The sequence below is a fragment of the Homo sapiens genome, chromosome 7, assembly GCF_000001405.40.
Source record: "Homo sapiens chromosome 7, GRCh38.p14 Primary Assembly".
Lineage (NCBI taxonomy): Eukaryota > Metazoa > Chordata > Mammalia > Primates > Hominidae > Homo > Homo sapiens.
This window is the reverse complement of record NC_000007.14, coordinates 116,482,424-116,499,729: the sequence shown is the minus strand read 5'-3', so window position 1 is coordinate 116,499,729 and position 17,306 is coordinate 116,482,424. Positions and strand designations below refer to the sequence as shown.

The 17,306-nt window shown below is 38.8% G+C and overlaps 1 long non-coding RNA gene across 5 annotated transcripts in view, besides 3 other annotated features; it reads left to right on the top strand.

The window, feature by feature from the left end:
• Positions 20–109: a silencer, noted in NCBI's record as "silent region_18556". NCBI's record gives its function as "represses an Ori minimal core promoter by ATAC-STARR-seq in GM12878 lymphoblastoid cells {active_cell/tissue: GM12878}" and the evidence as "EXISTENCE:reporter gene assay evidence [ECO:0000049][PMID:35858748]".
• The window catches only part of CAV2-DT (CAV2 divergent transcript), an 83,411-nt gene continuing 66,318 nt past the window's right edge, over positions 214–17,306 (top strand). For 2 of the 5 annotated variants that reach the window (NR_188009.1, NR_188011.1), the window contains exons 1-2: positions 214–376; positions 16,827–16,917. This is a non-coding gene — a long non-coding RNA (CAV2 divergent transcript). Of the gene's footprint in view, positions 377–16,826; positions 16,971–17,306 lie in introns of those variants that run through there. The other 3 variants (NR_188012.1, NR_188010.1, NR_188013.1) reach the window with 2 other exon arrangements.
• Positions 290–429: an enhancer, noted in NCBI's record as "active region_26532". NCBI's record gives its function as "activates an Ori minimal core promoter by ATAC-STARR-seq in GM12878 lymphoblastoid cells {active_cell/tissue: GM12878}" and the evidence as "EXISTENCE:reporter gene assay evidence [ECO:0000049][PMID:35858748]".
• Positions 476–977: an enhancer, noted in NCBI's record as "H3K4me1 hESC enhancer chr7:116138807-116139308 (GRCh37/hg19 assembly coordinates)". NCBI's record gives its function as "activates a minimal SCP1, AML or CMV promoter by ChIP-STARR-seq in naive H9 embryonic stem cells {active_cell/tissue: H9 hESC(naive)}" and the evidence as "EXISTENCE:reporter gene assay evidence [ECO:0000049][PMID:30033119]".

Genomic DNA, 17,306 nt, shown 5'->3' with positions numbered 1-17,306 from the left:
GTCCGCGCGGCCTCCCCTTCCCGTAGCGCCCGGCCCCGCCCCCCCTCGCCTCGCCTAGCCCTGCGAGGCCCGGGCGGCGGCCGCTTCCCGCTGTGGGCTCCAGCTCCCAGCCCGGCCGTCCCGAGCCCCGCCCCGGCGCCCCGCCGCCCCTCCCCGCCCACCTCCCCCGCCGGGGCGCAGGGAACCGTCCCCACGAGTCACAGCCCGGGCCCTGCAGTGGGCGGCGACGCCGGCAGCTGGGACGAGGAGGGCCTCCTGGTCACCCTTCTGGGGGCCCGTACTGTCATGCCTCAGAGCTGGCAAGTCGTCCCAGGGAAGACAACGGCCTTCCTGGAGGGAGGGAACCTTGTGGTTAGGCGCATGGGGTGCGAAGCAGGTATGTGCTCACCTCCGGCTGTGTTTGCCTTGCGTGCTGCGGCTCATGGTGCTGGTATTGAGCCTCTGGGAACCTCAGCTGCCTCGTTGGCAAAATGGGGGCTGTGGCATCTGTTTCAGGGGTGTCCGTGAGAATTAAATGTTAATTTCACATAAAATTCTAACACACATGGCCCATGGCCCGTAACACACAGTGATAAACTTCCAATCAACGTTGTTGCTGCTGTCGTGAGAGGTAAGGAGCCACAATGTACCTGAGTGCTAGGTACCTGAGTGCTAGGTGACCTGCAAGTGCATGTGGAGTTGGGTAGGCGAACGCCCTGGCCCTAGAGTTTGTGCCTTCAGATCTGAGGTGTGAGGGGAGATCTGATTTTTTTTTTTTTTTTTTTTTTACTTCCTAAACTACACCGTGTGTGTGTGTGTGTGTGTGTTTGTGTGTGTGTGGCAGAGTTTCGCTCTTGTTGCCCAGGCTGGAGTGCAATGGCACGATCTCGGCTCATCGCAACCTCTGCCTCCCGGGTTCAAGCGATTCTCCTGCCTCAGCCTCCCGAGTAGCTGGGATTACAGGCATGCACCACCACGCCTGGCTAATTTTGTATTTTTAGCAGAGACGGGGTTTCCCCATGTTGGTCAGGCTGGTTTCGAACTCCCAACCTCAGGTGATCCGCCCGCCTCGGCCTCCCAAAGTGCTGGGATTGCAGGCGTGAGCCACCGCGCCCGACCTCCACCTTTTAATTTTCTTGTGAACCAGACTGTCTTGAAAGATTCAGGAACTTCTAAGATGCAGTCACATCTGTGATTATCTTGCAGGCAGCACGGAAACAGAACCCTAACACAAAGCCACATTGCAATGGATGAATTAGCCTGCTGACCACTCACGCAAAGGTTTTCAGAAGGGAGGAGTTTGCATGTTCATAAAGGGCTTTAGGGTCTGGTAGACATATACGTGTGTTTGGGGAGGAAGGGCACTTAGTGAAAATTTGCCAAAAGCAAAACAATGAGAACTAGGCTTGAGGTGCAGGTTGCTCAGAGCTCAAAGTAGGCATGTAGTAGGTATTGCTGGATACAGTGTATTTGGAGCTTGTTGAACATATCAAATCCCCTTATGTGAACTGGATTTGAAGAATTGCTTCTTCCGAAAGAAAAAAGATCATTTTTGAAACAGTAAAAATTACAGAAATAAAAAAGAACAGGAACTGAATGAGAAAAATGTTTGGGGGTGGGAGGCAAAGTTCAATATTTCTAATAATTAAAAAGTTTCCCTGCTGCTACCTCAGTATATGAAGGGCAGTGTTGTAACCCTATAGGGTGTTACAGAGTTGACTCTCATGGCTATGGAGCCCCTCCTCTCCCAGACATCACCCTGCTTACCCATTCCCTTCTTTTTTACGTATCTTTCTCATTTTTATTTATGTTCAGTCAATTCCAAAGTGATGACTTAGACATTCTACTCATTGCATTTTCTCTGCTTCTCCACCTTGTCCATTCTCCTGATGAGAATTGGAACTCTTCTAGAATTGTTGCCCAACAACTGTTCATTAAAGTGAATAGAAGACATGAATCCTTATGGGAATCCATAATATCAACTGTGAGGAACAGAAAAAAAAAGGAGATAATTTACAGCCAAATACCATTTTATAATTATAATTCAAAATTATAATCCCAGATTTCAAGGTCTCACCCAAAGAAGAAAGTCACTGCCCTAGTACAAGAGTGGGCTTATGTAGTGGGTAAAAATCTGACATTAGCACTTCTTACCTTATAATTCTTGGTCCTCATTACATTTACATTTTCCATGGGATTATTAGGACATTTGAGAGTTATCACAAATAATTGATTTGTTTTCAGGAAGTGGCCAAGAGGACTCTTTAGACAACAGCTTCATTCGTAAAATGATAGGTATTTAAGAAAGGTGTCTCTAAATCCCATCTAAATGAGACCCATCTAGATTTGTTGTATGGAGCACAGAACTTGAAAGGAGAGGATTCATTTATTCATCCATTTGTAATTTTTTATTGAACAATCTTCTCTCCCTTGGGTCAGATCTGGTGAGGTTCTTATTTTGATGAAATTCTTATACATTTCAACATTTTAATACATAAGATTTTTTGAAGGAAGCTATAAAAATGATTTTGCTTATCCTATTGGCCAGTATTTAGATAAGGTTAGTGATATGGCTTGGATTTGTGTCCCTGCCCGAATCTCATGTGGAACTGTAATCCCCAGTGTTGGAGGTGGGGCTTGGTGGGAGGTAGAGATTAGATCATGGGGGCAGAGTTCTTAGGAATGGTTTAGCAACCACCCCCACTGCCACCCCTGCCCCCCGACCCCGCAGTTGGTACTGTATAGTGAGTGAGTTCTCATTAGATCTCGTCCTTCAAAAGTGTGTGGCACCTCCCCCTCACCTTTCTTTGGCTCCTTCTGTGGCCACGTGAGGTGATACTCCCTGTTTACCTTCCGCCATGATTGTAAGTTTCCTGAGGCCTCCCCAGAAGCTGAGCAGATGCCATCATAATGCTTCCTGTACAGCTAGTGGAACTGTGAGCCAACTAAACCTCTTTTCTTTATAGATTACCCAGTCTCAGGTATTTCTTTATAGCAGTGTGAGAACGGACTAATATAGTTAGCTACTGTTTTTCTCAAGAGGCTTAAACCAGAGTGATTCCCACAGCAATGGCATCTGTCCTTATGAACATAAAGGAAAATTTACCAGGAAAGGGAAAAGAAAGGGGGTGGGTGGGTGCTAAATGGCTGAACACATTCTAGTGTCTTCTGGATCACAGAATTACTCTCCAATAAGCACCTCCTACAGAGTTTACGTGCCCTGTAATCCAGAGAAATTAAAAAAATTATAATAAATTCCTACTGGTGCATTTATCTTCTGACTTATTATGTATCATAGCTTCTGATAAGAGGGCTGTTTTTTAGATGGTGTATTAATATATTTTAGAAATAACAGTCTGATAATAGATTAGAATTTGTGAGAAGGATAGTTTATAACCATTTTGTTACTCACTTCTTTCAGCACAGTGTCAATGGAAGAAGGTTATTTTTCTGGAGCATTGAAAATTGTATGGCAATGCTCTTATGAATAAAAATATCTAATTTTTTCCCTTCAGCTTTTTTTCCTTTTCAAATCACAAATGTGTCATATTTTTTTCCCTGTATAACGCACATGCAATTTTAGTCAGGGTCTGTTTTTCAAACTGCCTTTGAGCAAATTGGTATTAACGAAAATGCAGTAATAAATTCTTGATCTCACCATATGTTTTAATAATATTCAGAGTGTTCAGATTAGACCAGAGTTTCTCAATCTCAACCCTGTTGGCATTTTGGGCCAGATCATTTTTCCTTGAGAGACTGTCCAGTGCATTGTAGGATGTTTAGCAACATCCTTGGCATCTATCCACTAGATACCTATAACACTCCCAGTCATGACAACCAAAATGTTTCCAAATGTTGCCAAATGTCCTCTGGGGGGCAAAATCACCTTTCTCCTTCTTTCCCAGGCTGAGAACCACTGAATAAGACAATGTTGAAACAGTGCTGTGTGAATTAGAAAAATTAAGCTCCAGCTCTTCATTTACAAATCCATGCTTAGAAATCTCAGAGTTGTATCACCAATGTATTAGAAACTCCAGGGCTAGGCCTGGCACAGTGGCTTACACCTATAATCCCAGCTCTCTGGGTGGCTGAGGAGGGAGACATAGTGAGACCCAGTCTCTACAAAAAATAAAAAAAAAACTAGCCAGGTGTAGTGAGAGATGCCTGTAGTCCTAGCTACTACAAGAGGATTTCTTGAGCCCAGGAGTTTGAGATTGTAGACTGGAGTTTGAGGGCACAGAGCAAGGCCCATCTTAAAAAAAAAAATAGAAAGAAACTCCACGTCTTTTTGAAATTAAACTTAAGAATATTTGTTTGTCATGTAAAATGTTCAGAAGAACCCATTATCATTGACTAATTGCAATTTTTTCAATACAATGTTGGTATTAATTAATGAATACATATTAACCCCCACCCCCTTCCCCTAGAGATCAAAAGGAAGCAACTGCCAAGGCCTCAAGCTCTGTCTACCTTGCCTGGCCTCCTATACTTTCCTCACAAAGGTTAGGATTGTTTAAATGATTATATCTGGAAAAATACAGGCTTGGGACTTCTTGATCTGTAAGATTCTCTCTTAAAGCTATAAAATTCAGTGATTTTTGACAATCTTCAGCAAGTGAATAGCTTTTGCAATTTTAAGTAACCTTAACTGAGAAATCCATGGACTTGTTAGTGGGAGAGCCGGGCAGTTGCTTACCAGGTTCTTCAAGCATCCCCTCCTAGGCTTGCTTACTGTTAGCAAGGACAAAGCTTGAGAAATTTGGAAGGACCTGCTGTTTCTGGCATAAGCCACTCTCTCTGTGGCTTTACATAAACTATTGCTTGCATAACTCCTGTACCCTACTGCTTTATCAATGCATCTTTTAATTTCCTCCTTCTACCCTCCAACTCACACTCAACCACTATCTGCCCCCCACCTCCAACTGTCCCCCCACCCCCCCCAATACAGAGGACATTTCCTCCACAAAATGTTTAAAGGAATAGACAAAAATGTCTGCTATTAAAGTTAGTCAATAATCAACTTTGCGGAGTGGTGCCAGATGGTTGCATGGTATTTAATAAAAGTTGCTTCACTTTTTTCCCTCCTAATTTACCACTTGTCTTTTTGTTCACAATTTGAGTAAAATAAGTCTTGCATCAGTGGACCAGGGAATTTTTAGCTTGATATTAAGACACAGTAGCTTGTCCGTAATTGTTGCAAGCTGGATCTTCTGGCTGTTTCAAACAACACCTTCTCTGATCAAAAACCTCTCTTCATTTACAAGAATTTCCAGAATTAACTTTTGTTTGGCAATGCCTGGCAATTAGAAATAAATGAGGAAGAAGGTACACTCTTGAAAAACCTGTATTCACAATTAGAGGTGGTAGGATAGGTCATTTGGTTCTCATTCAAAAACGATGTATGACAATTAATTTTAGATTTATTTTATCCTGTGTTCCATAAGTAAAGGATGTTCCTGTTTAATCTTTTGAGTATCCCATTGATTTCTGAAATGCTGTATATACAAATAAGACATCTCTATAGGATGCTGATATTTTATCTTTCCAGAACATGAAATGGGCACTAATGAACTTTTGTTGTGCACTAACTCTTGAGTTAAACTCTCAATAAGTACAATTTCCTCTATGTTCAAGTGGGAATATCATTTCTACAAAGCTACAGAGTTAAATGTTTTCCAAATACCAACTGAAATGTGCACAGCAGATTATTAGTTGCTAAAACAACAGATCTAAAGGTTGTTTTCTTGATTTGGGATTTAATTTTGGACAAAAAATTTATTGTATCTCAGTTTGAAGCCTTTGTGTTCTCTAATCTTTTTTCTTTTTACAAATGTTATTCTGTTTTTTATTTAGAGTTAATGCAAATTTTTGAAAATAACATAGCTAATCTACTACATTAGCCAAGAGAAAAAAAATGGGAAGTCTTTTTTTAAAAAACGAATTTTAGCCTTATTGCATATTTCCAGTATAAAAGTAAGAACAAAAGTACAAAATGCCTTCCACCTGGATCTTGCAAATTATGGCTTTGGTGTCTATCAGGTGACTTTTAATGCTTGAGAGAATCATTTATGAGTAAAGAGCAAAGGGAATCCAACTGCACAAAGCAGATGGAAGACTGGGATGCAGCCAAGGGGTTGGGCAGAAGAATTTTTAGATTATATTTTCCTAACAATAAATATCTGGGAAGATTTTTGTTTCCAGAGAGTTTACTAAAAAAAAGTTAGTCTATTTCTGTTCTGTGGCTACACAAAACAGTAAGGCAGATTTCTACAATACATAAAGGCATAAAATAGGCAATTTAGATGTCTGTATCTACTCTTTTTGGGCCACTGAAGCACAATGAGACCCTCAGTGTCTGCTAACTGCTTATTAAGTTCTTAGTTTCTTGTTTAGAACAGCCTGAAGTTTGGATCTACAGGTAGTTAATAAAGAAGGTACTCTATTAAATACATTATAAATAAGACTGTTGACATTCTTGAGTGTCTGAATGAAGTAATTCTTCTCTAGTTAAGCAATTACTAAATGGATAAATGTCTTATTTCAAAAGCAACTTTAGTACATGTTTGCATTTTCTTTAAAAAAAGAGGAGGAAGAGTAGAATCCTTCAAAGCATTCGGAATATTCTCATCATGCTGACCTTGAAAGAAACATTTTACTGAAATATGCACTATTTTCTATAACATCTTTATGTTACCATTTCACTTTTTGGAAATGATAACAATTATGTGCCAGATAGACAGAGGGAGTCCCCCCCACTTCATAATAGTGAATATACGTAAAATTCTGCTTGTTACTTATTGTCCATCGATATACGTTCATATAATTACACATAGTACTAAAAGGTATGCCTTTTTACCTTTTAAAAAGTATTGCAGTCATTGGAATCTCTTGGATAAATAGGTTACCAGAAATAAACTTAGATAGTAAAACATTGTGGTCCTGAAAAACTGCACACTACTTTATTTGGAAATAGTAGAATTTGCAGAATGTTGCTATAAAGGGCATGCTACTCAAATTACTTGGTTCTGAAGACTTTTACTATGAAAGCAAAGTATTTTCTGAAGGAGTAGAGCACAAATAGCTAAATGTTTGGGGCAAAAATAGAGTTATTATATTATCATTTTGTAAAATCCTCTCCAATTTCACCATGTGTGTATTGCAAGTCATGTTGTTGAAAAAATGATATAACACAAGAAATGAGAGGTGTCAAATGACTGACTGATAGGTTTAAATTACTTAAAACTGTAGAATGCTGATTATTTACCACAGCTGGGCTGTTCTTTAGGAAAAGAATAAAATCCAGGAAATTTCTTTTAGGCATAGGGAGATGTTTTAGGATATTAAAACCTGCTTTAGAAGACCACACTCCTGTCGCAAATCTTATTTTCCCCTAAATTTATTCAGTGTTTACTTGTTAGTTTGTCTTTTTCTGCCAGGGAAAGTGTTTGATAATATAAATGTTTCCCTTTCCTTCCCTTTTCTCCTGCTCCTTCCTCTCTGTTTCTTACATTCTTTTTTTTTTCCTTTTCAAAATAATTGCTTGTCCATTCATAACATCTCAGAGTTGGGAAGAACTTAGAGGCTCTAGACCAACGATCCACTCATCCATGAATCTTCACAGTGGCCATACAGGCTTTGCTGGAATATTTTGGCAATGGAGAATTACCTTATTAGGCAACTCAAATATAATTCTTAGAAAATTCTGTGTTATTCTGTGTCAGGATTTATTTTTCTGATTATCTATCTATCTATCTACCTATCATCTCGTCTTAATTCTGCCTTTTGTAGTTTTTTAAGAAAAAGGTGTTAAATGTCACCCTTGAAGTATTTGAAGGTAGATTTTAAACACCAGTCCCTCTCCCCACTTTATCTCTTTTCTAGCTAAGCAGCTCCATTTCTTTCAGTTGTTTTTCACGTGTCACTGTTTCCAAATATTTCTTGTAATTTTCTTTTTCTCTGAAGCTGTTCCCATATCTTGTGACACTTGGTCTGGGGTTGGAAGAGCACAGGATAAAATGAGAAAACTATATTACCTTTTTTGTATTGCTCTCTAGACTGCTGTATCTTATTGTTGAATCAAATGCATCTCATTTGAAATTAAATCTTTATGTCTTTTATAGTCTTTTGTATTTTGGTTAGGTCACACTGCTAGTATGAAACAATTGATTATTTGAACCTAAGGCAACTAATTATACCTACTCTATTTTATCATGCTTTGAGTTTCCTTTTACACTGTTTTCTGTGTATTACTTCACTGTTAATCTGTGGGTTTGTTTACACCTCTATTCCTGGTGACTGATAAAATGTTGAATAAGGAAGGGTTGAGAACAGACTTATGAGGCATTCCAATTTAATGGCTATAAATACCATCTATATACTGACAAGTTCTAAATTTATAGTTCTAGCTATTTTCAAGCTTCAAATTGATATATCATGCTGACAACTTTGACATCTCAGATTTCCTATGCCCCAAAACCTACCTGTGGACTCCCATCCCCAAATCTGATCATTCTGTGTTCACACAGTCAGTCAACCTCAAACCCTACGTGTCAGCTTTCATTCCTCCATTTCCCTCATTACTTCTTCTCCAATGAGGCCTGTTAGTTCTACCTTCAAAATCAGTGCTTTCACCCTCTCCCATTTCACTTCTCCTCCCTGGTCTGGGTTCAGATCTCACCTGAGAAACCTCCACAGGCTCCATGTTTGGGTGTTCATTCCCACTCCCTTCTCATAATTTACTTGATCTACAGAGTAGCCAAAGAACCTTAAAGGATGCACAATTTAGTGAATATTCTTGTGTGTATGCACATATATATATATACACACACACACACACACAGAAAACTGATAAATCATAAGTATACAGCCCAAAGATCACAAGGAAAACACACCTTATAAGTTTCACTCAGATCAAGAAATAGAACATCACCAGACCTCAGAAGCCTATCTCTGTCACCACCTATATCCTCCTCCCACAAAGTAACTACTATCCTAACCTTTAACATCATGCATTAGATTTGCCTGTTTTAAATTTTTTGTAAAGAGAATTATACATTACTCTCTATTGTGTCTAGTTCATTTTGGTAAACATGACTGTGAGATTCATCCAAGTTGTAAATAGGAGTAATTCTTTCATTTTCATTTCATCTTATTCTTGGTTTTTGCACATGGTGTTTTATTGTATGAACAAACCACAGTTTATTTATTCATTCTAATGTTGATGGAATATGGGCCACTTCCTGTTTGGGGATGCTATGAATAACACTACTATGAACATTTCTAAATATGTGTCTTGGTTTAGATGTATACACATTTCTGTTGGGTTTATATCTAAGAAAATATTTGAAGCATTAAAGGGTAAATACACATTCGATAATACTAGTTACTGCCGTATTATAAAGTGATTATATTAATTTACACCCCCATCAGCAGTGAATCAGAGTTACAATTACATTTTCACTATATGTATGTAAAACTTTGATTTTGAATAGCAAAAACAAAAAAATTATCTAAAAAAACAGATAATTCAACAAGAGTAGAAGAAAATATTGAGGTTGGCAATGTCTAGAGTAAAAGGTGACAGATCTCTGCTGTCATTTTAAACTTATGAGTTAGTGAAAAGCATAATTGAGTACTGGTTTGAAACTGATATTCTTTCCAAGAGGTGGGTCCCTGGCAAACACACACTCATAGGAAAACACAAGGGCCAAAACAATCAACCTTGCTAAAATGTCTCTTTGGGGAATGAAAAATGCACTCTTATCCACTCTACTTGCCTCCTAGGAAGAAAAAACATCAAATGCTGGAGGAAATATCTTGCTTTTCCAGACTGCCTTTTAACATATCTTATTATCAGCCAGTAGATTATTTTTCTCTGAGTATGTTAACACATGCTGTCTCACAGTTCTTCATTTATGTGCTCTCTATTTCTCTTGTCTTTCCTGCCTCTTCAGTCTAATTATTCACCAGGACTTTATCTTCTTCAGACATGTACATAAAGCTTAGTCTAACTACATAAACTTAAAGAAAATCTTCTTTTTTCTTTTCCTTTTATCTTTTTTTTTTTTTTTTTGAGATAGAGTCTCCTCTGTCACCCAGGCTGGAGTGCAGTGGCGCGATCTCGGCTCACTGCAACCTCTGCCTCCCGGGTTCCAGTGATTCTACCACGTCAGCCTCCTGAGTAGCTGGGAATACAGGCATGTGCCACCATGCCTAGCTAGTTTTTGTTTTTGTTTTTTTTTAAGTAGAGACAGGGTTTCACCATGTTGGCCAGGCTGGTCTTGAACTCCTGATCTCAAGTGATCCGCCTGCTTCGGCCTTCCAAAGTGCTGGGATTACAGGTGTGAGCCATCGCACCCAGCTGAAGAACATCTTTAGCACGTTTAGAAATCTATGACTTTGATATGTAGGGATGACAGTTGAGAAATACATATGTAATTTCTTGGTGATTCTGGTTAACCTTCACTGTAAAGAGTCAGTGTTAACCACCTCAGATTCAAACCAAAACTTTTTGAGAGTAAAAAGAGAGGGCGGAATTGTTGATAATTACATCACAATTACATCAGGATAATTACAATCAGCCTACACAGGGACTGTCCTAGGCATATTAGGACGTATCGCCACCCTAGCTTGATAATCGTCTTCACATCATCCTCTTCCCTTTTCAGGAGCTATGGATGGTGGATCCTCTAATGTGAGTGTTTTAAAGGAAGGGAGGTTGTTTAGATTACAGAAGGGAGAATTTCCCCCAAAAGCATGGTGTATTACAAAAAAAAATGTAAGTTTAGAGTTAGCTTTTAATTTTTTTTTTTTTTTTTTGAGGTGGAATCTTGCTCTGTTGCCCAGGCTGGAGTGCAGTGGCACGATCTCTGGTCACTGCAAGCTCCGCCTCCCGGGTTCACGCCATTCTCCTGCCTCAGCCTCCCAAGTAGCTGGGACTACAGGCGCCCACCACCATGCCAGGCTAATTTTTTGTATTGTTAGTAGAGACGGGGTTTCACCATGTTAGCCAGGATGGTCTCGATCTCCTGACTTCGTAATCCACCCGCCTCGGCCTCCCAGGTTTTAATTTCTGATCTAAAACTCAGGTATAAATTTGGTTGTTAGTCAACCTCTCTTATCGTTGGGTTCTTCAATGACAAATAGCAGAAACGTAATAATAAAAGAAAATGCTTGAGACAATGTTTATCTCTGTAATTTTCAGAAAAGATACTCAATAAATTTTAGCCTACTTAGAGGGTCAATGCTTACAAATAAGGCAACCAAAGGGAGGGGAGGGAGGGGGCCTCATACTGAATAAGGTCCAATTTGCTCATCTGAGTAATAATTCTTAATATTATACACATCTTTTACATTTTTCTGCAAGTACTGTCACATTGCTCCTAAGAACTATCTTGTGAGCAGGCCGGGTTATTGCTATTACACCCATATTAGAGACAAAAAAACTGAGGCTCAGGGAAGTTCACAGATTTGACGAAGTTTCCATGATTATTAAATGTTGAATCCAGGCTATAAACCCACATTTCTTTATACATCGTCCTGGACTCATCCAGTGAGATATCACACTTATTTGAAAGGAATTTTTCAATAATAAAATATTTAAGGTGTGTGCTTGCGTAATATAGTTGGCTTTATTTTTCTACACAGTGAGGTGCTATTGTTCTGGAAGCTCAAAGATCAAATCATGAATCTTTTATTATCTGCATATGAATTACACATTTTATGGTGATTCTCAAACAAACGTTCAATTCTGTAGTTGCTTTCCTCTGAATACTAGAAATGCCTCAGATAGTTTCCTTTCAACCCTCTTCAGTGTGAACATTCTGCAATTGGAGTGCTCATATTGTATCCAAAATGGAATTAATAATTTAAATCTGTGATTAAAAGCACACATTATTTCAAAGGCAAATAAAAAGTTAGTTGTGGGCCAATTATTGTTTAGAATTTTTCCCTACTGATTTTCTGATTGATAACACCAGAAAGTTATAATTAATTTGAGAAACTTGGATAGTCAGGACTTTGCTAGTTCTTCAACAACAAACAAAAGTGGGGGGCCGGAGAAAACAGGTGGATAGCATTCCAAATCCATGGGAGTGGCACATGCCTCTCCAAGGGGAGTGGGCTGACCCTGGAGCACCAGCCAGGGAAACAGCCACCCACATGGCTGCAGGTTCTACCCAAATAGCTGTGAAATGCCTCAAAAAATGCCAGACTAAAATCATAGAAGGAAATGTATGTAGTTTGTATGATTTGGGAGAATAAGTAAAAGTTGGAATAAATACAGAAAAATATTTAGACATATTTATGTTTCTTTTTTTAAATAACAGCTTTATTGAGCTATAATTAATCTAACATATAATTTACAAATTTGAAGTGTACAATATAGTTTTTAGTATATTCACAGAGTTGTACAATCATCAATCACCACAATAAATTTTAAAACATTTTTATTACCCCAAAAGAAATCCAGACGCATTAGCTAACATCACCCGAGCTTTCCATCTCCTCCTGTCCTAGGCAACTACTGAGCTACTTTCTGTCTGTGTAGATTTGCCTATTGTGGGCATTTTCTATAAATGAATTCATACAATATGTGGTTTATGTGACTGATGTCTTTCACTTAGCCTAATGTTTCCAAGGTTTATTGGTGAATAATATTCCTTTTTAGCAATGCTATCTGTTCATCAGTTAATGGACATTTGGTTATTTCCACTTTTGGGTTATAACAAATAATGCTGCTTTGAACATTTGTATCTATGTTTTAAAATACACACTTGTTTTCATTTCTCTTGGGTATATACCTAGGAGTGAATCATGTTAACTCTATGTTTAATCTTTTGAGGAACTGCCAGGCTGTTTTCCAAAGTGACTGCACCATTTTACATTCCTACTAGCATGTTTTCCATGTCCCCATGAATACTAGTTATTATGTGTTTTTTTAATTATAGCCATCCTAGTGTATGAGAAATGGTATTTTATTGATTTACATTTTCCTAGTCACTAGCATTTTTGTACAAGATGTTAGCCAACACATATGCCATTCAAAGAGCAACATCAGACTTCTAAGCTAAAAGTTGAATAGTTTTTAACCTAAAACATTTTCTCCACTATGAAAATTCTTATTTCATTTTATAAACTTAATATTACATAGTTATTTTTTTCCCTTGGATTTGTCATGTGGGAATGAACTTACAGTGTATTGCGCTATTAGTTATATCTTTTCTGGGGGCATGATACTCTTTTCTCCAGAAAAACTGTAGAAGATAAGGTCTGTGCCTCTTATTTATTTTGAAACCTTATCAGGATCTAATACAAAATAGAACATGTAGTTTGGGCCCAGCAAAGATTGGCTTATTGACTGGTTCAGTTAATTGCTCATTTTTGCTGGGCTGATTTAAATTGTCTTAAGAAAATAACTGAAGCAATATTGACAAAGAATAAACTTTTTTTTTTTTTTTTTTTAAGACAAAGAGTCTTGCTCTGTCTCCCAGGCTGGAGTGCAGTGGGGCCATCTCCACTCACTGCAAGCTCCGCCTCCCGGCTTCACGCCATTCTCCCGCCTCAGCCTCCCGAGTAGCTGGGACTACAGGTGCCTGCCATCACCCTTGGCTAATTTTGTTGTTGTATTTTTAGTAGAGACGGAGTTTCACAATGTTGGGCAGGATGGTCTCGATCTCCTGACCTCATGATCCGCCCGCCTCGGCCTCCCAAAGTGCTGGGATTACAGGAGTGAGCCACCGCGTCCGGCCAGACAAAGAATAACCTTTACCAGTATTTGAGTAATTGAAATTTTACCAAATCAATTTTTAATTCCTAGAGTAACAGAATCTGTTGATTAAGTGAAACAGCATCTCTAAGATAACGGAATTGGGCAATTCCCTGTGGTGGGGAGTGTGTTGCAAGGGGGCGTGTGCTGCTGTTTCAGAGAGTTATGTGGGGAGTTTTTCTCATGTCTGCCAACAGGACAAATACAATAACATCTATAGATTCTATTGGGAGATATTTGGAAGCTAACCAAAGAGCATATGAGCAAAAGTAGTTGTTTTTGTTTTTGTTGTTGTTTTGTTTTCTTTTGAGACAGAGTCTGGCTCTGTTGTCCAGGCTGGAGTGCAATGGCGTGATCTTGGCTCACTGAAAAGTAGTTTTAAGGGAATCAGTTTTCATTTGTTTGACTTCTCTATATACTCTACCAAAACTAATTTGCCAGATAACTGATCTGTGTCTGTGGTTTTCCTTTTTTTTCAAATTTGCTTCTTTCAGCCAGGCACAGTGGCTCATGCCTGTAATTTTAGTACTTTGAGAGGCCAAAGTGGGAGGATTTCTTGAAGCCAGGAGTTTGAGACCAGCTCTGACAACATAGTGAGATTCCATTTCTCCAAACAAAACAAAACAAACAAAAAATGCTGGGTGTGGTTGTGTGTACCTGTACTTCCAGGTACCCAGGAGGCTGAGGTGGGAGGATGGCTTAAGCCTAGGAGGTCAAGACTGCAGGCTCCAGACTGGGAGACAGAACAAGATGCTATCTCAAAAAAAAAAAAAAAAAAAAAGCTTGCTCCTTTCCCATTTTATACAGAAATATAAAGAATTACAAAGAAATGCAGACCCATCCTGAACTCACCATGCTGCTGTACTCGGTAGTGTAAAAGCCTCCAGGAGGAAGACGTGGGGAAAGGAGAAATTACAGTAGGACTGGCAGCAAAATCTTCTTCAATCAGAGTGCATAAGCATTACCTCTAATCCAGCTCATTAAAATAAACATTTCCAATACATTATTCTTTTTATGTTTAGCAATTTTCACCAAAATTTGTGTACTACTTATAATTTATTGATCAATTATATACTATTATTACAGTTTAAAATTTGTTTTTAATTGATAAATAAAATGTATACTACTGTTTTTAATAGTAATTACTATTATTTATTATTGTGAACTACTAATAATTAAAACAATACTCCAGAAGGAAACCTGTAATTCTTAGGTATTATTATCATAGGCAGCAAAAATTAATTTCATTTTATAGGCGTATTTTTGTGGCAGAGAAATATGCTAAGGTGATCAAAAATAATTTTAGCATTAAATATAGACTGTATAAAGAAAATGTGGCACATATGCACCATGGAACACTATGCAGCCATAAAAAAGAATGAGTTCATGTCCTTTGCAGAGTCATGGATGAAGCTGGAAATGATCATTCTTAGCAAACTAACACAAGAACAGAAAACCAAACACCGCATGTTCTCACTCGTAAGTTGAACAGTAAGAATACATGGACACAGGGAGGGGAACATCACACACCAGGGCCTGTCGGGGAGTTGGGGGCAAGGGGAGGGATAGCATTAGGAGAAATACCTAATGTAGATGATGGGTTGATGGGTGCAGCAAACCACCATGGCACATGTATACCTATGTAACAAACCTGCATGTTCTGCACATGTATCCCAGAACTTAAAGTATAATAAAAAATTACTTTAAAATAATATTCTATTATAGATTCTGCAGGAGAAATCACACAGAATAATTGTTTTGAGGAAAAAAAGGACCAAGCCAAATTTTTGACACTTGAAGAGTTGAGCATGTATTTGCTCATATGTTTGTAAAATAGATGATGATGGCATCATATTGATGTAATATTTATATTTTATTGGATATACTTAAAAGGGTAATGTTAGTATTTATAATATTCTGGAAATTTCTTTCTGTGCAGCTATTTAAACTGTGGTGAAGAAGGCATTTTATATGTCAACCTAGAAATTTACAAAGGGGCACGTTTTTCCAAACTCAGTGGATATTGAAAATAAAAAGAGAACATTGCAATGGACCAAGATAGGATACTTTCCAACCCCTCAGGTTTCTTTTCTGTTACTTACTTTTCCATTTTATGCTGTTCATTATATTAATTTTGGGCCTAATTTTATCTAAAAATCTTGGAGTTGGGGAAGAATAGGGGAGCAAGTAGAACCTGCAGCTGTTTAGTCTCTGAGTACATTCTCCTTCTGGAAGTGATCCCAGAAGATGCTTCTCAATGATTCCAGTGAGATGAGACTTGAACCAAGCCTGCTTTTGAGAACCTTCTTTGAGAGCCCTTGATTTCCCCCACAGAGTGATTCTTATCATTTCTTAATTGTCCCATCAATATAATAAAAGCAATTTAAAAGCATATTTTTCAAGTTAAAAGAAAAACCTAGTTATGCCTAAATTATAGCAGGTAAAACTTCAGAGAAGTGGTTACATTCTAACATTATAAGAGTTGGAAGTTGGTAAGTATACTGCAGTGTTTATTTTGGCAGCTGAGAGGCAAAGCTTTAACTCTGGGTAAGATTTTCATATTTTTAAGCCAAATATGGTCAGTTTTTAACTCTTAATAATGTCCATACATAGATCTCTGTTTATCGTGTGACTTGAATTTATTACTTATACAAGCCACTCCTTTATGAGGCAGCGTGGGTTGTTCCTGCCCTTGACCCTTCCTTATGGCTTGGCACTTGCCCTTCCCCCTTTGGGGCATAGGCTCGTGACAAACTAGGCTAATAGGAGGAGATTTGGGGTGATATGGAGAAAGGAGACTGGGACTGTGTACACAGACAAAGTCCTGAATGGAAATGGGTGATGTCATTGAGGGGAGTGCAATGAGGGGGTATTTTCAAGGGTGTGGGACAGGTAAGAGGAAGCACCAGCACCAGCTGGAGGCAGTTACCAACCATAGGCCTGAAGGACAGAGTAAGGGCTGGTGAGCTGAACCCAAAATCTACCTGATAGTGTGGCCTTCGGAAGAGAAATACAGATACTGGTGGGCCCTTGAAGGAAAAAATTAAGATTCATTCTTCTTCTTTACTCTGATCTTTTGCAGGGCCTCTACTTGGCCGACGCAGCTAGAAGACTAAGGTCAGGGGCATTCTGGATGCAGCCCACAAAGCTAGCTCTCTGTGGCACTGAGCAAGGTAGGGAAGGATGGAGAGTATTTTTGCAGAGCAGCTGCAGAATGTCCAGCTAGGTGAGGATAACAATACACTAGAGCTTTAAGAGGTGGCAGTGTAAGTGAAAATTGTGTCTTGTAGCTGAATTGTTTCTAGGTTTCTAAAGGAATTGGAAAGTATCATAAAAGGAATGTTTGTGTCTCCCCCAATTTCATATGTTGAAGCCTTAACCCCCAATGTAATGGTATTAGGAGGTGGGCCCATTGGGAGATAATCAGATTTAGATGATATCATGAAGGTAGAGTCCCCATGATGGGATTAATGTTCTTATAAGAAGAGGAAGAAACACAAGATTTTCGTCTCTGCTGTGTGATGATACAGTGAGAAGGCAGCCAGCCATATGGTGGGCTGAG